The sequence below is a fragment of the Homo sapiens genome, chromosome 16 (assembly GCF_000001405.40).
Source record: "Homo sapiens chromosome 16, GRCh38.p14 Primary Assembly".
NCBI lineage: Eukaryota > Metazoa > Chordata > Mammalia > Primates > Hominidae > Homo > Homo sapiens.
This window is the reverse complement of record NC_000016.10, coordinates 58,599,779-58,621,543: the sequence shown is the minus strand read 5'-3', so window position 1 is coordinate 58,621,543 and position 21,765 is coordinate 58,599,779. Positions and strand designations below refer to the sequence as shown.

The window sequence follows — 21,765 nt, the reverse complement described above, 5'->3', positions numbered from 1 at the left end:
CCTAGCACTTTGGGAGGCCGAGGCGGGCGGATCACCTGAGGTCGGGAGTTTGAGACCAGCTTGACCAACATGGAGAAACCCCGTATCCACTGAAAATACAAAATTAGTTGGGCGTGGTGGCGCGTGCCTGTAATCTCAGCTACTTGGGAGGCTGAGGCAGGAGAATCGCTGGACCCTGGGAGGTGGAGGTTGCGGTGAGCCGAGATTGCACCATTGCACTCCAGCCTAGGCAACAAGAGCAAAACTCTGTCTCAAAAAAGAAAAAGAAAGAATAGTTAGCTGGGCCAGCGCAGTGGCTCACGCCTGCAATCCTAACACTTTTGGGAGGCAGAGGTGTACAAATCACTTAAGCCGAGGAGTTTCAGACCACCCTGGGCAATATGATGAAACCCCATCTCTGCTAAAAATACAAAACTTGAGGTGGGAGGATCACCTGAGCCTGGGGAGGTCGAGGCTGCAGTGGGCTGTGATCATTGCACTCCAGCCTGGGTGACAGACTCTGTCTCAAAAAAAAGAAAAAAAAAAAGTTATCTTTTTGTCTAGTTTCAGGCTCTTGTCTTTTTTGAAATAACTTTCTAACTAATCTCCATTATAGTTTCTTTATCATTGGTTTTTGGGTTTATTTCACAAATAATATGTGGATATTGTGATTGTAAAAGATTCTAGGACTGCAGTTAATTTTTTATATTTCTGCCAAAATGCCACTTAAATCATTGCTTTGGAAATATCCTTTCTTTGTTCAGAAGTCATTCTAATACCTTCATCTGGAATTATAAGTGTTGATTCCTCCTTCCCTGTGGTACTACTGTGTTGTATTATAGTCAAAAGACTGTTAAGCAGTGGTACCCAAATATATCTTTGTCCTCTTTTTTTTTTTTTTTTTTTTTTTTAAATGAGACAGAGTCTTCGCTGTGTCACCCAGGCTGGAATGTAGTGTCGCGAGCTTGGCTCACTGCAATACAACCACCTCCTTCCGGGTTCAAGCGATTCTCCTGCCTTATCCCCGCCGAGTAGCTGGGATTACAGGTGCCTGCCACACCACGCCCGGCTAATTTTTGCATTTTTAGTAGAGATGGGGTTTCCTCATGTTGGCCAGGCTGGTCCTGAACCCCTGACCTCAGGTGATCTGCCCACCTCGGCCTCCCAAAGTGTTGGGATTACAGGTTTGAGCCACCGCACCCAGCCTCTTCGTCTTTTTACATCTGGAATGTCATCTCTACCAAAACTTTATCATTCTAGTCCAAACTCAGGTGTACTGTCTATAAATACCTAATTTCCTTAAGCAAAATTGATTTTTTGCCATCCTTGGCCAGTTTCACTTAAGTGCACCCTACAATGCCTTTTAAGTTTTCTGTCCCATAGTGAGTAAGGAGTCTCTTTCCCCAGTGCATATATACAGTTGAACTGTAATTGAATAGTGCTTCATTTATTACAGTTGGGTAAATTGATAGAATATAGCATTCTTGGAAATCGATACTCTGGTTTTTCTTTTTTTCATACTGCTTGAATGAGCAAGTAACATTTCAGAGGAAAAGATCTATCGGTGGTGGTTCATTATGTAGGTCAGGATTTTAGTTTCATTTGTGCATTGGATTTTAGAATATCATGACTATCTCTAGTAATCTACAGAGTTAAACTATTTACATCTTGGCAATTTCTTGAATTAATTAGGGAGATCTTTCTTTACCCCCAACCTTTTATTTGGATAGAGTTTTCTTAGTTGTGACCAAAGCAAATAAGGTTTTTTTCCCAGCAGTTTTTTGGACGACTAGAAACAAGATTTGAATTTTTCATTTCCTCACTATGAAAATGCAAAACTTGGCTACGCGCGGTGGCTCACGCCTGTAATCCCAGCACTTTGGGAGGCCGAGGTGGGCAGATCACAAAGTCAGGAGTTCAAGACCAGCCTGGTCAATATGGTGAAACCCCGTCTCTACTAAAAATACAAAAATTAGCCAGGTGTGGTGGCGGGCGGCTAGTCCCAGCTACTTGGGAGGCTGAGGCAGGAGAATTGCTTGAACCTGGGAGGCGGAGGTTGCAGTGAGCTGAGATCGCGCCACTGCACTTCAGCCTGGGTGACAGAGCGAGACGCTGTCTCAAAAAAAAAAAAAGAAAGAAAATGCAAAACTCTAGTGTGACCAAAAGATGCTCTTTTACAATTAATGGTCAGTGTAATAATAATAAATTTGCAGTTCTGCTGAGACTGCCTAAAGATGAAGGGACTTGAGTTTTAACAAGTTCTTTAGCATCGTAAATTGAATTCTGAGATTTGAGAGTTTTCTCTTGGTGTAGTTCTTTTTAAAATAAAATAGCTTCAAGAAGGCTACTCTCTGTTATTTTGTTTTTTGAGACAGGGTCTCTGTTGCCCAGGCTGGAGTGCAGTGGCACGATCATGGCTCACTGCAACCATGACCTCCTGAGTTCAAGCCATCCTCCCACCTCAGTCTCCCCAGTCAGTGGCTGGGACTACAGGTGTGCACCACTACGTCCAGCTAATTAAAAAAAGTTTTTTTATAGTGATGGGGGTCTCACTATGTTGCTCAGCCTGGCCTTGCACTCCCAGCCTCAAAAAATCCTCCCACCTTAGCCTCCCAAAGTGCTGGGATTACAGGCGGGAGCCACCATGCCTGGCGTGGATTAGATTAATTCTTGTAAAATATTTAAGGCACATACACAAGGCTGTTAAATGTTACAAGTTATTGAAGGCACTGTAGCATTGAGTGAAATAAATTGCTTGATTAATATGTGTATATAAAAAGCAAGTCAACTCTTTTTTTCATGTCAGACAGGTAATGTGCCGTTTGAGGTTGCCATATCTCACGCATGCATGTGAACACCCAGTCATCATGCTTATGAACTACGGAAGGGTCAACTCTTTTTCTTTTTTTTTTTTGAGACAGGGTTTCTCTGTGTCGCCCAGGCTGGAGTGTGCGCCAACATGCCCTGCTAATTTTTTTCTTTGAAATGGAGTCTCGCCCTGTCGCCCAGCCTGGAGTGCAATGGTGCGATCTTAGCTCGCTGCAACATCTGCCTCCTGGGTTCAAGCTGATTCTCCTGCCTCAGCCTCCCAAGTAGCTGGGATTACAGATGTGCACCACCATGTCCTGCTAATTTTTTGTATCTTTAGTAGACACGGGGTTTACCATGTTGGCCAGGCTGGTCTCGAACTCCTGACCTCGTGATCCATCCACTTCAGCCTCCCAAAGTACTGGGATTACAGGTGTGAGCTGCCGTGCCCGGCCAAACTCTTTTTAATTAATTTTTTTTTTTTAGAGACAAAGTAGCTCGACCACAGCTCAATGCAGCCTTGAACTCCTGGGCTCAGTCAGTCTTCCCACCTCACCCTCCTGAGTAGCTGGCTGGGATTGCAGGTGCAAGTACACAATCCACCACAAAATAGTTATGCATAAACTGTTTTTCTAATAACTTGTGTTAGCCACTTTATGTAAGCTGCATACCATTTCTTACCATCTTCTGGATTTAAGCTCTGCTTGGCTTTGTGTTAATGTGGAAAGTCAATTTTTTCTTTAATTTTATAGAGGCAGGGTCTTGCTCTGTTACCCACGCTCTAGTGCAGTAGTGCTGTGATAGCTCGTTAAAATCACAGACTCCTGGGCTCAAGCCATCCTCCCACAGCAGCCCAAGTAGCTAAGACTATAGGCACACAGTGCCACACCCAGCTAATTTTTATTGTTGTAGTTGTAGAGACAGGGTCTTGCTATGTTGCCCAAGCTGGTCTTGAGCTCCTGGTTTCAAGTGGTCCTCCTGACTCAGCCTCCCAAAGTCCTGAGATTACAGGCATGAGCCACTGCACCAGCCAAAAGTTAATTTTGAGGTGTTTACATTGAGGGCCCATCCTATAGAAGGTGGCTATATCAGCCATTTTCTCAACAAGGGCACTGTTGGCATTTGGGCAGCGTAGTTCTTTGTTGGCGATAGAGGTTGAATATCGCTTATCTTAAATGCTTGAGACTAGACATGTTTCTCATTTCAGATTTTGGAAAATTCTTGTACTTACCAATATGCACCAATGAGTATTCTTTTGAGTGTCATGTTTGTGCTCAAAACATTTTGGATTTTGGAGTCTTTCGAACTTTGGATTTTCAAATTTGGGATGCTCAGCCTGTATTGTCCCCTTGTAAGATGTGGTTTGTTATTTTTTTTTTTAATTAAAAAAATTTTTTTGAGACACTCTTGCTCTGTTGCCCGGGTTGGAGTGCAGTGGTGCAATCATGGCTCACTGTAGCCTCAACCTCTCAGGCTTAAGTGATCCTCCTACCTCAGCCTTCTAAGTAGCCAGGGCTACAGGTGCATGCCACCATGCCCTGCTTGCTTGTTTATGTATTTATTTGTTGAGATGGTCTCACTGTTCCCCAGATGGGTCTCAAACTCCAGGTTCAAGTGATCCTCCTGCCTCAGCCTCCCAAAATGCTGGCATTACAGCCGTGAGCCCTGCACCTGGCCTCTTGCAAGATGTTTAATTTCATCCTTAATTCTCACTGAATGCCAGTAACTCTTCTGACACCTAAACATTTCAAAATGCTTTTGGAGATACTACTGCTCTTCAGTGTTTTTTTTCCATAGATGCCTTCTTGAGGTTCAGATTTCTCATTAGGTTTATTTTGTTCACTTTAGATTTACTTATTCTTGGTATAAATCACAAGACACTTAAAATTATTTTAGTTTTACAATGGCACATGTAACAGAAGACTACATGGGGGAAAGGAAATAACATATTTCACTGATTCTAACACAAAATTTCCATACTTTAAAATCTCTAAAATTGGCATACACTGTATTATTGAAAAAAATGCTGCCAAATAATCTAGTAGTAATATATAAAATAATCATGTCATTCTCACGAAAGCAAACCAACCTGAAATAAGATTATGAAAAATAAGCACTATGATGGGTAGTGAAGGCAGAAGGAATTTCCCAAACTTTGACTATATCTTGTTTTCCTTTAAAAACAAAAAACGAAAAAACCAGCTGGATGCTGTGGCTCACACCTGTAATCCCAGCACTTTGGGAGGCTGAGGTGGGAGGACTGCTTGAGCTCAGGAGTTTGAGACCAGCCTGGGCAATATAGCAAGACCCCATCTGTACTAAAAATAAAAAATAAAAACAAAGTCCTTGTAGGCCGGGCGTGGTGGCTCACGCCTGTAATCCCAGCACTTTGGGAGGCCGAGGCAGGTGGATCACCTGAGGTCAGGAGTTCAAGACCAGCCTGGCCAAGATGGTGAAACCCTGTTTCCACTAAAAATGTAAAAATTAGCCGGGCGTGGTGGCAGGCGCCTATAATCCCAGCTACTTGGGAGGCTGAGGCAGAGAATTGCTTGAACCCGGGAGGCGGAGGTTGCAGTGAGCCGAGATCATGACACTGCACTCCAGCCTGGGCAACAGAGCGAGACTCCGTCTGAAAAAACTAACAAAAAGAGTTATTGCAATTTCTTACTTTTTATTTTTTTGGTAGAGTCAGTGTCTTGCCCTGTCATCCAGGCTGCAGGACAATGGCCTGATCATAGCTCACTTGGGCTCAGACAGTCCTCCCCCTTCAGCCTCTCTAGTAGCTAGGGCCAAAGGCATTTGCCACTGCACCTTGCTAATTAAAAAAAAAAAAAAAAAGTAGAGATGGGGTTATTCTATGTTGCCTAGGCTGGTCTTGAACTCCTGGTCCCAAGCCATCCTCCCTTCTTGGCCTCCCAAAGTGCTGGGATTAGAGGTGCGAGCTACTGTGTCTGGCCTGCTGTTTCTTGAGTACATTCGCTTCTCTTTTCCTTACATGTTCATGGCTTTCCTGTGACCTTATCTTTCCTTTCTTGGTATTTCCCATCATCAAGAGTAACTTCTAAAAATGTTCATTTGATCATTTTGTCTGTTATTAGGCAAAACAGGCCTAAAACAAATCCAAGATAACAGCGGCTTAACAGAGTAAAAATGTATTTCTTCCTCAAATAATTTTCATTGAGGATGTTTCATTGAGGATCCTGTGCAATAATTCAAGAAGTCTCCCTTCGTCTGTCATCTCATGACATCATCCTCCTCTAGGTCTTGGGGGTTTATTCATCGGGCAGATAGTCAAAAACAGAGAATCATGAGTGAGGTTTTGTGAGCTAGGTCTGAAAGTGCCACATACCATATTTGCTGTATACTTTGTGGGTTAGGAACTAAGTCTTACAGCCAAACCAATGCAAGAGAAGCTGAGAATTGTATTCTAATTCTTTAGCTGGGAAGAGGAAGCAGTTTGGTGAGCATCTAGCCCATCTCTGCATCTCCCTGTTTACTAAAACAGACCCAAACCAATCAAAGTAGCTTCCCAGATCATCTTTGTGATAAGATTCAAAATTCTGAAATGGATTCTCCATGTGCTAGACAGGAAATCCACAATTTGGGTCCCACTTACCTCTAGAAGATATTTCATCTCTGCTGGGCAAGCGTGTTGGGGACAGTTCCCAAGTCCACCTGCAGGTTCAGTAATTCACTAGGAGAAAAGCCCAGGGCTGATTTTTTTTTTTTTTTAAATAGCAAAGGATACAGGCCCAGTGCTGTGGCTGATGCCTGTAATCCCAGCACGTCAGGAGACCGTGGCGGGCAGATCAGTTGAGGCCAGGCGTTCCAAGACCAGCCTGGCCAACATGGTGAAACCCTGTCTCTAATAAAAGTACAAAAAATTAGACGTAGTGGCATATGCCTGTGGTCCCAGCTACTCCAGAAGCTGAGGCAGGAGGATCGCTTGAGCCTGGGAGGTAGAGGCTGCAGTGAGCCCAGCTCAGGCCACTGCGCTCCATCCTGGGCGACAGAGTGAGACCCCGTCTCAAAAAAATAAAATACAATAAAAAGTGTTTTTCTATAGCAAAGTATACAAAGCAAAATCAGCAAGGGGAGATGGTGAATGGGGTGAATCCGGGAGGAAACTAGGCTCATGCTCCCAAGTGTCCTCTCCCAGTGGAGTCACACAGGACACAATTCCTCCAGCATGGAGTTGCGACAGCACGTGTATGTGAAATGTTGCCTAGCAGGGAAGCTTTTGCTAGAAACTCAGTGCCTATTGTTATTATTGGTGGGGCCTGTTCCTGTAGGCACCCTCTGCCTACCACATATTAAAATTTTAGGCTCCTAGACAGAAAGCTGGTATTCATCTAGATAGAAAGCCGGTGTTCATCATAAACCACATTTGGTTTGTGCAGTTTATGCCGAATGAGTCACTCTTAGTAGCCCTGGGGATGGTGAGAACTCTTCCGAAAGTTATCAGAGACCAGCCAAGGGCCAACTGTGCAAGCCTTTCTAAGGACAGCAGGCTCGGGCCATCTATGTTACCTCTCTTCTACAGTGAGTGAGGTGAATGGCTTCCATAGGTTGGGATTTTGCATAGAGAGTCTTGGAATATGCAAAGCTACTGGCATAATATTTTTTGGTTTTGAGAGTAATTTTCTTTTCTTTTTTTTTTTTTTTGAGACAGTGTCTCGCCCTGTCGCCCAGGCTGGAGTGCAGTGGCGCGATCTTGGCTCACTGCAAGCTCCGCCTCCCGGGTTCACGCCATTCTCCTGCCTCAGCCTCCTGAGTAGCTGGGACTACAGGTGCCCGCCACCACGCCCGGCTAATTTTTTTTTTGTATTTTTAGTAGAGACGGGGTTTCACCATGTTAGCCAGGATGGTCCCTATCTCCTGACCTCGTGATCCACCCGCCTCGGCCTCCCAAAGTGCTGGGATTACAGGCGTGAGCCACCACGGCGACCAATTTTCTACTTTGAAAAAAAACTTCAGTTCCTTTCTCAACTATTTTATGTAACTTTTCAAAAGAGTTATTCTTATTAGATACTTTGTATCTATAAGAACATAATCTAAATAGACCACTGTTACGTGACTGTTTTTTTCCCCTCAATAGATAATTTCTATTATTTATGGGTCCTTTTTTTAGTTATTACATGGTTTGCCACTTTATGATTTACTTAATCAGTGCCCTTTTGATGGATATTTAGGCTTTCAGTTGATAGTTTTTAAAGAATTGGTCATTGCCTGGAGAAAAAGTAATGAATTAAAAGGTGACTCCTAAGTATTCAGTGCAGAGGTATAATGCAGATGGTTTAGGGGCCTAAAACTTCTGTGAGAGTGGAGATGCTTATTGATACCAAGAATTGGTATTAAAACAATTATTTAGACTTGTACAAATCGATTTTGAAAGGATTTTTGCTTGTTTTAGACTTAACCTCTAAGCCAGGCGTGGTGACTCAAGCCTGTAATCCCAGCACTTTGGGAGCCTGAGGTGGGCAGATCACGAGGTCAGGAGTTCAAGACCAGCCTGGCCAACATGATGAAACCCCATCTCTACTAAAAATAAAAAAAAATTAGCTGGGCGTGTTGGCGCATGCCTGTAATCCCAGCTACTTAGGATCCCGAGGCAGGAGAATCGCTTGAACCTGGGAGGGGGAGGTTACAGTGAGCCAAGGTCATGCCACTGCACTCCAGCCTAGGTGACAGAGCGAGTCTGAAAAACAAACAAAAAACCTCTACTGCTCAGTATCTTCAAAATTATGCTACTTACTATCTGAAAGTTAAACTATTCCTTATCTGTAAAGTTGGGGTAATAATATCACCCTTGAGTTGTGAGGATTAAAGAAACATGTAAAGTGCTTAGACCAATTCTACTTAGTGTTTATTATACTTGCATAAGTTATTCTATTATGTACACAATAGTTATAACTAAGATTTTAATAAGTGAACCAACCTTTTGGAACTGCCCCATAAATCTAGAATCTTTGCCTCTTGGAGAAGTAGTTAATATTAGTAAGTGTATAATCAGCCTTCCATAGAAGTTTTGCTCTTGTCGCCCAGGCTGGAGTGCAGTGGCAGGATCTCGGCTCACTGCAACATCCCCCTCCTGGGTTCAAGCTATTCTCCTGCCTCAGCCTCCTGAGTAGCTGGGATTACAGGTGCATGCCACCATGCCTGGCCAATTTTTGTACTTTTAGTAGAGATGGGGTTTTGCCATATTGACCAGGCTGGTCTTGAACTCCTGACCTCAGGTGATCCACACACCTTGGCCTCCCAAAGTGCTGGGATTACAGGTGTGAGCCACGGCGCCAGTCTGATGTAGAACATTTTCATAATTGCAGAAAGAGAGTGAAAAAAAGACAAGGCTCAGATTGACCTTTTTTAGGTCAGAATGCTACTTGGGAAATAAATAATTTTCAAGGTCAAACTTGGTTATCAGTTGGTGTAAGTATTCTGTATTTAGTATTTAGTATTTTTTTAGTATTGGAAGTTGGCAGTTCAATAAACTGATAGCGTTGGGTCTTGCCTACTTGTCTTCTTAAGGTGCCTGATATTTAAATTTAGAGCAAGGTAGCTGGTAGAACATTGCTGGCATCAGTGCTGTGGGAAACCAAACTGCCTTTAGATCGATGTCTTTGCAGCCTGGCATGTGGCACATTCTTGTAGGTCCAACTACTTGGGAGGCTCAGGTGGGAGGATCACTTGAGTCCAGGAGTGTTTTGAGGTTGGCCGCGAGGTGTGGTCACACCACTAGACTCCAGCCTGGATAACAGAGCAAGACCCCTTCTGTTAAAGGAAAAAACAAACGAGCAAACAGATGTCTTTGGTCCAGTTGGAAGGAGTTAAGGGGAGAAAAAGAAGTAGGTGTGAGGGGCATTCCTTGTCCTCAAAGAAGAGATTGCATCAAAGTACAGTATCCTTTTCTTAAATATTTCTTTTTTTTTTTTTTTTGAGACAGAGTCTCGTTCTGTCTTCCAGGCTGGAGTGCAGTGGCGTGATCTCGGCTCACTGCAAGCTCTGCTTCACGGGTTCATGCCATTCTCCTGCCTCAGCCTCCTGAGTAGCTGGGACTGCAGATGCCTGCCACCACACCCAGCTAATTTTTGTATTTTTAGTAGAGACAAGGTTTCACCATGTTGGCCAGGCTGGTCTCGAACTTCTGACCTTAGGTGATCCTCCTTCCTTGGCCTCCCAAAGTGTTGGGATTACAGGCGTGAGCCACTGTTCCCGGCTTCTTAAATATTTCTAATACCTGTTAGCAAGGAATAACCTGACACTGCTCCTTAGGTCAGTGGTTCTCAGTAATTGACTGGGGAGTTTATTTATTTTATTTATTTTTTTTGGAGATGGAGTCTCGCTCTGTCGCTCAGACTGGAGTACAGTGGCGTGGTCTCGGCTCCCTGTAACCTCTGCTTCCCGGGATCAAGCAATTCCCCTGCCTCAGCCTCCCGAGTATCTGGGACTACAGGTGCACACTGTCACGCCCGGCTAATTTTTTGTATTTTAGCAGAGACAGGGTTTCACCGTATTGCCCAGGCTGGTCTTGAACTCCTGAGCTCAGGCAGTCCACCCGCCTCAGCCTCCCAAAGTGGTAGGATTACAGGCATGAGCCACCGCACTCAGCCTGACTGGGGAGTTTAAAATAGACAGCCTGTACTCCTTTTCTCTAGCAGTGTTGACTCTCTTGGTCTTGGGTGGTGCTTAGGAATCAGCATTTTTTAAATTTATTTATTTAGAGACCAAGTCTAGCTCTGTCACCCAGGCTGGAGCGCAGTGGTGTGCTCTCGGCTCACTGCAACCTCCACCTCCTGGGTTTAAGCGATTCTCCTGCCTCAGCCTCCCAAGTAGCTGGGGCTACAGGTGCCTGCCACCACGCCCGGCTGATTTTTTTGTATTTTTTGTTTTGTTTTGTTTGTTTTATGTTTTTTTGAGACGGAGTCTCACTCTGTTGCCCAGGCTGGAGTGCAGTGGTGCGACCTCGGCTCACTGCAAGCTCCACCTCCTGGGTTCACGCCATTCTCCTGCCTCAGCCTCCCGAATAGCTGGGACTACAGGCACCTGCCACCACGTCTGGGTAATTTTTTTGTATTTTTGTAAAGACAGGGTTTCACTGTGTTAGCCAGGATGGTTTCGATCTCCTGACCTTGTGATCCGCCCTCCTTGGCCTCCCAAAGTGCTGGGATTACAGGTGTGAGCCACCGCGCCCCGCCTTTTAATTTTTTGTATTTTTAGTAGAGACGGAATTTCACCATGTTAGTGAGGATGATTTCGATCTCCCGACCTCAAGTGATCCACCTGCCTCGGTCTCCCAAAGTGCTGGGATTACAGGCATGAGCTACCGCGCCTGGCCTATTTATTTCTTTATTGAGGCAGAGTCTTGCTCTGTTGCCCAGGCTGGCGTGCATTGGTGTGATCTCAGCTCACTGCAACCCTCCACCTCCTGCGTTTAAGCGATTCTCTGAGTAGCTGGGATTACAGGTGTCTACCACCATGCCTGGCTAGTTTTTTGTATTTTTAGTAGAGATGGGGTTTTGCCATGTTGGCAAGGCTGGTTTTGAACTCCTGGCTTCAAGTGATTCACCCACCTCGGCCTCCTGAAGTGTTGGGATTATAGGCATGAGCCGCCTTGCCCAGCCAGGAATCAGCATTTTAAATAGCCCTCTCTCCCCTTTCCAATTCTTACACACAGCTGCCTTAGTTGCATAGTGTTATAGTAAAGTCTGTATTTATTACATTAAGCCTCTTGGTCAATGTTTCCTTTTGTGTTTTCTATAATACCTGAAGTGAGTACATGGTGTATAGTTAGGGCTCAAATGTTTGAGTTGATAGGAATGCCAACTTTAGTAGATAATGTATATGTTAGTAACATGTTAATGTATTATTATATATGTTAATGTATTATTATATATAATATGATATATATATATATCACCCTAAGTGATCCCAGAAGGATATTCCTTCATGATAAAAGAAGGAATGAGAATAGTAAAATTTTCCAATTAAAAATGTTTTCTGGCCACATAGTTCATGGCTATAATCCCAACACCTTGGGTGGCTGAGGTGGGAGGATTACTTGAGCTCAGGAGTTCCAGACCAGCTTGGGCAACAAAGTGAGACCCGGTGTCTACAAAAAATAAAATAAGTAGCCAGGCATGGTGGCATGTGTCTGTAGTCCCAGGTACTTGGGAGGCTAAGGCGGGAGGATCACTTGAGCCTAAGAGATCAAGGCTGCATCAGCCATGATCATGCCATTGCACTCCAGCCTGGGCGACAAGCTCGAAACTGTCTCTCCCACCCCTCCAAAATTTTTATTTCTATAGGTTATTGGGGGACAGGTGGTGTGGGTTACATGAGTAAGTTTTGTTTTTTTGTTTGTTTGTATTTTGTTGTGTTTTTTTTTGAGACAGAGTCTCCCTCTGTCACCTAGGCTGGAGTGCAATGGCAAGAGCTTGGCTCACTGCAACCTCCGCCTCCCAGGTTCAAGTGATTCTCCTGCCTCAGCCTCCCAAGTAGCTGGGATTATAGGTGTGTGCCACCACACCTGGCTAATTTTTGTAGTTTTAGTAGAGGTGGAGTTTCACCATGTTGGTCAGGCTGGTCTCGAACTCCTGACCTCGTGATCCACCTGCCTCGGCCTCCCCAAGTGCTGGGATTACAGGCATGAGCCACTGCCCCTGGCGAGTAAGTTCTTTAGTGGTGATCTGTGAGAATTTGGTGAACCCATCACCTGAGCAGTATACACTGTACCCACTTTGTAGTCTTTTATTCCTCATCCCCTTCCCACACTTTCCTCCTGAATCCCCAATCCTCCTGAATCCCCAAGGTCTATTGTGTCATTCTTACGCCTTTGCATCCTCATAGCTTAGCTCCCACTTATGAGTGAGAACATATGATGTTTGGTTTTCCATTCCTGATTGACTTTGCTTAGAATAATAGTCTCTAGTCTCATCCAGGTCGCTGCGAATGCCATTAATTCATTCCTTTTTATGGCTGAGTACTATTCCGTTGTGTATATATATACCACAGTTTGTTTATCCACTCGTTGATGGATGGGCATTTGGATTGGTTCCATGTTTTGCAATTGCGAATTGTGCTGCTGTAAACGTGTGCAAGTATCTTTTTTGTATAATAATTTCTTTTCTTCTGGACAGATACCCAGTAGGTGGGATTGCTGGATCAAATGATAGTTCTACTTTTAGTTCTTTTTTTTTTTTTTTTGAGACAGAGTCTCACTACGTCACCCAGGCTGGAGTGCAGTGATGCGATCTCAGCTCGCTGCAGCCTCAGCCTCCCAGGCTCAACAATTCTCCTGCCTCAGCTTCCCGAGTAGCTGGTATTACAGGCACGAGCCACTATGCCTGGCTAATTTTTTGTATTTTTAGTAGAGGCAGGGTTTCACTATGTTGGCCAGGGTGTCTCGAACTCATGACCTAAAGTTATCTGCCTTCTTTGGTCTCCCATAGTACTGGGATTACGTTGTGAGCCACTGTGCCTGGCCTGGTTTCACTGTGTTTTGTAATACAAATTGGACATTCAGGTTTGTTTGTGTTTTAGTTTATTTTTCTTAAAATGTTCTTTTTCTTTTTTTTTAAATTGAGACAAGAGTCTAGCTCTGTCACCCTGGCTGGAGTGAAATGGCATAATCTCGGCTCCTTGCAACCTCCACGGCCTGAGTTCAAGCGATTCTCATGCCTTATCCTCCTGAGTAGGTGGGACTACAGGTGCTAGCTACCACACCTGGCTAATTTTTTCTGTATTTTTTAGTAGAGACAGGGTTTTACTATGTTGGCCAAGCTGGTCTCAAACTCCTGGCCTCAGGTGATCTGCCCGCCTCACCCTCCCAAAGTGCTGGGTTTACAGGTGTGAGTCACCGCGCCTGGCCTTTTCTTAAAATTTTCAATCATGCAATATATTTACGTGGCTCAGAAATCAAAACCAAAAATAAAAGATGTAATCAGTGAATTTTTGTTCTGACTTCTATCTCTTCTCCTTTTTTCTCACCCATTTAGATAGCCCTTTTCTTTCTTTCTTTCTTTTTTTTTTTTTTTTTGAGTTTTGCTGTTGTTGCCCAGGCTGGAGTACAATAGCATGATCTCCGCTCACTGCAACCCTCTGCCTCCTGGATTCAAGTGATTTTCCTGCCTCAGCCTCCTAAGTAGCTGGGATTACAAGCATATGCCACTAGGTCCAGCTAATTTTGTATTTTTAGTAGTGATGGGGTTTCTCCATGTTGGCCAGGCTGGTCTCGAACTTCTGACCTCAGGTGAATGCCTGCCTTGGCCTCCCGAAGTGCTGGGATTGCAGCCGTGGCCACCTTGCCCAGCCTAGATAGCCATTTTCATTGGCTTGTTTATTGTGAGTATTTTCACAAAAAAGCAACTATATATATGTGAGCATATATACAAACAAAAGGTAGTATATATACAAGTGCTTAAACAAAAGACAGATGACTATATACACGGTCCAGGATGTTTATTCACCAATCACCTAGTCCTGGCCAGCCATCTTTCATGCTCTGACATATACTGCTGCGGTAAATAATACTATCCATATGTTACACTTTTGGAGGTGTGTAGATTTCTGGACTTTTTTAGTGGGATTTTAAGTGAAAGCTCCTATGTAACTGCTATTGATCGAGACCTTATTTGGGATCATGCTATTCAAGAGTTCTGCAGCTTTTCACTTAGTCACTTAGTGTCATGAGTATACTTTTGTTGACATTTAACAAACTATATACCACAGCTACTCTTGGTTCTGTTTAGATTGAATGTTCAATAGACAATTAGTAATATTGTATAGTGTTCTCTAGTGAAAATGCGAATGCCATTTTATAATCCTTTCCCCCCCCCAGCTCTGCAGTAGGTAGTGGTTTATGTATGGCAAAACTATATTTTAATTGGATATTAATCATATTGGGTGGGTGTCATATTGCATGTATGAAGATAATCTTTTTTTTTTCTTTTTTTTTGATACGGTGTCTTGCTCTGCTGCCCAGGCTAGAGTGCAATGGTTTGATCTCAGCTCACTGCAACCTCCGTCTCCCATGTTCAAGCGATTCTCCCTGCCTCAGCCTCCCTAGTAGCTGGGATTACAGGTGCCTGCCACCACACCTGGCTAGTTTTTGTATATTTAGTAGAGACAGGGTTTTGCCATGTTGGCCAGGCTGACCTTGAACTCCTGACCTCAGGTGATCCTCCCGTCTCGGCCTCCTAAAGTGCTGGGATTACAGGCGTGAGCCGGTGCGCCTGGCCTGAAGATAATCTTTACACTCATTTATTTTTGGGTGATTTGTAGTATTTTAGTATTAGGAAAAGTACTGAGAATGGCCTTGTACAATCTTTGTTCCCCTCAGTTGCTGTTTTACTTATTTTTTGTTTTTTTAAGGGACGGGGTCTCACTGTATTGCACAGGCTGGCCTCAAACTCCTGGGCTCAGGCGATCTTTTTACCTGAGCTTCCTGAGTAGCAGGGACTACCAGTGTGTGCCACCTCACCCAGCCATTATTTTACTTTTTATTTCTTATATTTTAATTACAGAGACACTGTCTCACTATGTTGCTCAGTCTGGTCTTGAACTCTGGAGTTCAAGTGATCTTCCTGCCTTGGCCTCCCAAAGTGCTAGGATTACAGGTGTGAACCACCATGCTTGGCTACTTTATATTATCATAACCATATTGTTGGTAAATTTTTTGATATCATTGTTCAGGTAACAGTTGACTTGTAGTATATTATTGTCAAATGTCAGTGACCTTTCATTTGCACTGTGCATCGTTTAATTGAGAAGTGCTGTGAGAAGACTAGGGAAACAAGGTAATTTGGCTGGGTACCGTGGCTCATGCCTATAATCCTAGCACTTTGGGAGGCCTAGGCAGAGGGATCGCTGAGCCCCAGAGTTTGAGACCAGCCTGGGAAACATGGCAAAACCCCATCTCTACAAAAAATACAAAAATTAGCCGTGTGGCAGCGGGCGCTTGTAGTCCTAGCTACTCAGGAAGCTGAGGTAGGAGGATCATCTGAGTCAGGGAGGCTGCGGTAAGCCGTGATTGTGCCACTGCCCTCCAGCCTGGGTGACAGAGACCCTGTCTCAAAAGGAAAATAAAGAGGTAATTTATTGCTTGGAAAGGATTTAGCATTTTTATTGTATGATTGCTTCTTTTTCCTTAGAATTATAGTTGTTTCCCATGTTGAAATACCAGTGGCATGATAATGACAAGTCCTCTGGAGTTTTGGAGGGATGTATTTATGTGTTTTTATTTTATTTTATTTTGAGACAGAGTCTTGCTCTGTCGCCTAGGCTGGAGTGCAGTGGTGGCATAATCTCAGCTCACTTCAGCCTCCGCCTCCTGGGTTCAAGTGATTCTCCTGCCTCAGCCTCCTGAGTAGCCGGGATTACAGGTGTGCACCACCACACCCGGCCAATTTTTGTATTTTTAGTAGAGGTAGGGTTTCACCATGTTGGCCAGGCTGGTCTTGAACTCCTGACCTCAGGTGATCCACCCGCCTCAGCCTCCCAAAGTGCTGGGATTACAGGTGGGAGCCACCACGCCCAGCAATATGTGTTTTTAATAATGAAGATTGGGAGATTTGTTGAAATGGTAGCCATTTTTGGTGTGTTTGTTTGTTTTTGTTTTTGTTTTGAGACGGAGTCTTGCTCTGTCGCCTACGCTGCAGTGCAGTGGCGCGATCTCGGCTCACTGCAATCTCCGCCTCCCAGGTTCATGCCATTCTCCTGCCTCAGCCTCCCGAGCAGCTGGGACTACAGGCGCCCACCACCACGCCCAGCTACTTTTTTGTATTTTTAGTAGAGATGGGGTTTCACCGTGTTAGGCAGGATGGTCTCGATCTCCTGACCTTGTGATCCACCTGCCTCGGCCTCGCAAAGTGCTGGGATTACAGGCATGAGCCACCACACCCGGCTTTGGTGTGGTTTTTTTTTTTTTTTTTAATTTTTTTTTTGTTTTTTGTTTTTTTTTTTTAGACGGAGTTTCGCTCTTGTTGCGCAGGCTGGAGTGCAATGGCACGATCTTGGCCCACCGCAACCTCTGCCTCCCGGGTTCAAGCAATTATTCTGCCTCAGCCTCCCAAGTAGCTGGGATTACAGGCAGGCACCACCACGCCCGGCTAATTTTGTATTTTTTTTTTTTTTTTTTTATAGCAGAGATGGGGTTTCTCCATGTTGGTCAGGCTGGTCTCCAACTCCCGACCTCAGGTGATTCACCCGCCTTGGCCTCCCAAAGTGCTGGGATTACAGGCATGAGCCACCGCGCCCAGCCTTTTGCAGTGTTTTTTTAAGGTTTTGGCCTGGATATGAAGTTAATCATTAAAACTATCTGAGTCCCTGGCATGTAAAGAGCCAATAGTAGACAACGCGTATACAAATAGAATGATCCAGCGCTACAAATCCCTTATAGTGAATGAATATCTTGGAATCTCAACTTTAATGATCTTAAAATAATTAATTCTCTAAATAAATATTTTTGTGATGAACTTGTTGGAAAGTGACTATAGCTTTGTGTTACAGTATTTAAAAATGGCCTATAAATAATGACATGGTGACCCAAACTCTGTATACACATTATAGTGCTAGAGGTTTATTGGAAGGCTGTTTACAGCTGTGTGTAGTATGCACTACTAAGGCTAAATCACTTATTGTCTATTCTCATGTAATTGTTGTATATGACTAGCAGTATTTCAGTGGATTTTCGTGTTTTTTTGGTAGAGTAAAAATACAGGTTACAAAATCCTAAGCTTCAATTTATATCTATTCATTGAGCAAATATTTAGTGAGTTCTTACTATGGGACATGAAGTATGTATAATAAATTGGTGCAGAGTAAACAATTACTTGTTTGTTATGTAACTTACATCCTAATACGAGGAGACTAAAAATATAAGTATGATATGTGTTAGTTTATATGATGTGGAAAAATGCATGGGGCAGGGGTGTGGGGATTACAGTTTTGCATAGGATAGTCAGAGTGTCTTCACTGAGAAGGTGATGTTTGAGTAAAGACTTAAAGAGAGGTAGTTAGCCATATTGCTGTCCACAAGAAGGGCATTCCAGACTAAGGTATCAGTTTGGTGCAGAGGCATTAAGGTGAGAGTGTACCTGAGAAGCAACAAGGAGGCCACTGTGGCCAGAGAGAACTGAGTAGGGGAAGAAGAGTATAAGAGGAAGCTGGAAGAGTATCAGTGGTTAGGTCCCTTAACCTAACCATTGTTTGTTTATTGGACATTTTAAAGACTTCGGCTTCTTTCTACTCTGAGTCAGCGGAGGGTTTTGAGAACAGGATGACATATCTGAGTTTTAGACACACACACACACACACACACACACACACACACACACACACACACACACACACTTTTAAATTGTAGAGATAGGGTCTAGGTATGTTATCCCAGGCTGGAATGCAAGTGGTGTGATCATAGCTAACTGCAGTGTTGAACTCCCGCGTTCAAGCAGTCCTCCTGCCTCAGCATCACAAGTAGCTGGGACTGCAAGTGTGAGCCACCATGCCTGGGTTTTGAGTTTTTTATGATTGAAAATTATTTTTCTCTGGACATTATGTTGAGAATAGACCATAGGAAGCAAGTGTAGCAGGGAGATGAAGTTAGAGGGCTAGCATAGTAATCCAGGTGAGAGATATGATGATCCTTATCATAGCTTGGATATTGTGAGAAATGGTTGGATTCTGGTTATATTTTATAGGCGGAGCCAAAATAATTTCCTGTCAGATTGGCTATAGGTTTTGGCTATAGGTATTGGCTCCAAGATTTTGGCCTGAGTAAGTTTAAGGATGAAACTAGCATCAACTGAGATGGGGAGTGCTTTGCAGGGTGTGACATCATTAAGTGGGGGGAAGACAAGGAGCTTTTTTTTGAATATGAAACATTTGAGATGTGAAGTAGAGATTATATTATACAAATTTGGACACTATGAGAGAGGTTTGGGCTGAAGATAGAACTTTTGAGAGAGTTATTGGTATAGATGGTTTTTTCTTTTTAAAAAAATTTTTTTTATTATTTTATTTTATTTTTTTGAGACAGAGTCTCACTCTGTTGCCCAGGCTGGAGTGAGGTGGCATGATCTCAGCTCACTACAACCTCCACCTCCTGGGTTTAAGTGATTCTCCTGCCTCAACCTCCTGGGTAGCTGGGATTACAGATTTACACCTGGCTAATTTATGGATGGGTTTTTTTTTTTTTTTTTTTTTTTTGGAGACAGAGTCTTGCTCTGTTGCCCAGGCCAGAGTGCAGTGGTGTGATCTTGGCTCACTGCAACCTCCGCCTCTCAGGTTTAGGCAATTCTCCTGTCTCGACCTCCCAAGTAGCTGGGATTATAGGTGTGCACCACCACACCCGGCCTACAGATGGTTTTTTAAGCCATGAGACTGTTAGTAGGCCAGATGCGGTGGCTCACTCTTATAATCCCAACACTTTGGGAGGCTGAGGTGGGTGGATCACCTGAGGTCGGGAGTTCGAGACCAGCCTCACCATCATGGAGAAACCCCATCTCTACTAGAAAAAATACAAAATTAGCCAGTCGTGGTGGCACATGCCAGTAATCCCAGCTACCTGGGAGGCTGAGGCAGGAGAATCGTGTGAACCTGGGAGGTGGAGGTTGCAGTGAGCCAAGATTGTGCCATTTCACTCCAGCCTGGGAAACAAGAGCGAAACTCTGTCTCAAAAAAATAAAAAATAAAAAAAATAAAAGGACTGAAGTAGATTACTAAGAAAGTGAATCTAGAGAAGAAAAGTTCAAGGACTCCAATATTGTGAAGCCAAAAGTCATCAGAGTAGACTAGAGAGACCAGTAAAATGCCATATTAGGAACAAAATAAGTGTATCCATCATCTTTTTATTATTTACTTAAAAATATTTTACTTTTTTTTTTTTTTAATAGACAGGGTCTCGCCATATTGCCCAGGCTGGCCTCAAACTCCTGGGTTCAAGCGATCCTCCTGCCTCAGCCTCCCAAAGTGCTGGGATTACAGGTGTTTGCCACCGTGCACAGGCTTTTTTTTTTTTTTTTTTTTAAGGTGGGTATGGAGCACTAGCATATGTAGAACCTTTGATTTGTGTACATAAAACTATGTATCCTTTATACATTAAGAAGCTGTTAACTTTGCTTTGTCTTGATAAAAGTGTGTAACCTTTATACATTAAGAAACTGTTAGAGATAAAGGTTTTAAATGGCCTTTTAAAGGGGTTTTAATCTTCCTGAGTTTCCTGCATCTTACATGGTGAGTTTTGATTGTAATGAAATTACAAGCGGACTTCAGAACAGGAAGCTGTGGATAAGCTCAGCTCCTTTCCTTCAGAGATTTTTGTGTTTCAGTGGTTCTTGGTGAATTTCTTAAAAAATGGGTGTTGTGGCTGGACGCAGTGGCTCACGCCTGTAATCCCAGCACTTTGGGAGGCCGAGGCGGGCGGATCACAAGCTCAGGAGTTAAGAGACCAGCCTGGCCATCATGGCAAAACCCTGTCTCTACTAAAAATACAAAAACTAGCCAGGATGTGGGCTCCATGGCTCATGCTTGTAATCCCAGCATTTTGGAAGGCCGAAGCAGGTGGATCGCCTGAGGTCAGGAGTTCAAGACCAGCCAGGCCAACATGGCGAAACCCCTTCTTTACTAAAAACACAACAAATTAGCTGGGCATGGTGGCTGTTGCCTGTAATTCCAGCTACTTGGGAGGCTGAGACAGGAGGATCAGTTGAACCCAGGTGGCTGAGGTTGCAGTGAGCTGAGACCGTGCCATTAAACTCCAGCCTCGGCAACAAGAGTGAAACTGTCTCAAAAACAACAACAACAGCAACAACAACAGAATAGAGATGGGATCTCACTATGTTGCTTAGGCTTTTCTCAGACTCCTGGCCTCAAGCAATCCTCCCATCTCCCACCTCATCCTCCCAAAGTGTTGGGATTACAACACTTTGGCATGAGCCACTGCACAGCCACATTTGTCTTTTCTATACAGAATAGTTCTCACTCAGCAGGTGGTTGGAGTTAAACTGATAATAATCCTGTCATTTTAGCTGTACTGCTGCTTTGGGCTTCCCTTTCTGAATTCTCCCAGGGAACAGTTTCAGCAATGCAGGAAGCAATTTGGCTTCTGGAGTTCCTTACCTGTACAGCCATTCAAATACCTAAAACATACATCCCAAGGTATAAGACCAAACTACCTGATTCTGAAGCAGTAACATAAAGAATAAAGTGAATACATAGTGTCTTATAAATAGGTCGCAGATACCATGGAAAGAGAGTCTGAAAATGAGAGATGAATGTTCCTTCCACAAACCTTAATTTTAAGTAAGTTTCCACTTGCTGCTTCCAAAGGGTATAGTAGAAATTATTTTGAAATAGGTAAAATAGAAATCTTAAGTGTTACAAGTTGTCTTACTAAAATGAAACTCTTTGGATGAGTATTTTCTTTTTTTGAGACCGAGTACCACTTTCTCACCCAGGCTGGAATGCAGTGGCATGATCTCGGCTCACCTGGTTCAAGCAATTCCCCTGCCTCAGCCTCCCGAGTAGTTAGGATTACAGGCACTCGCCACCATGCCTGGCCAAATTTTTTTGTATTCTGAGTAGAGACGGGGTTTCACCATGTTGGCCAGACTGGTCACGAACTCCTGATCTCAGACAATCCACACCCGCCTTGGCCTCCCAAAGTGCTGGGATTACAGGCATATTTTTTTTTCCCCCAAGTTGGAGTCTTGCTCTGTTGCCCAGAGCTGGAGTGCAATGGCGCGATCTCAGCTGACTGCACCCTCTGCCTCCTAGTTTCAAGCGGTCCTCCTGCCTCAGCCTCCTGGGTAGCTGGGATTACAGGCGTGCACCACCATGCCTGGCTAATTTTTGTATTTTCAGTAGAGACGGGTTTCACCATGTTGGCCGGGCTGGTCTCGAACTCCTGCCCTTGTGATCTGCCTGCCTCGGCCTCGCAAAGTGCTGGGGTTACAGGTGTGAGCCGTCACACCCAGCCATGTA

At 43.9% G+C, this 21,765-nt stretch overlaps 1 protein-coding gene and 1 pseudogene across 4 annotated transcripts in view; one reads left to right on the top strand and one right to left on the bottom strand.

Annotated features, from left to right (window-relative positions):
- Positions 1–21,765, top strand: part of CNOT1 (CCR4-NOT transcription complex subunit 1) — a 109,876-nt gene that overhangs the window by 8,283 nt on the left and 79,828 nt on the right. The window lies entirely within an intron of this gene.
- LOC124903804 (uncharacterized) lies at positions 2,780–2,869 on the bottom strand (annotated as a pseudogene).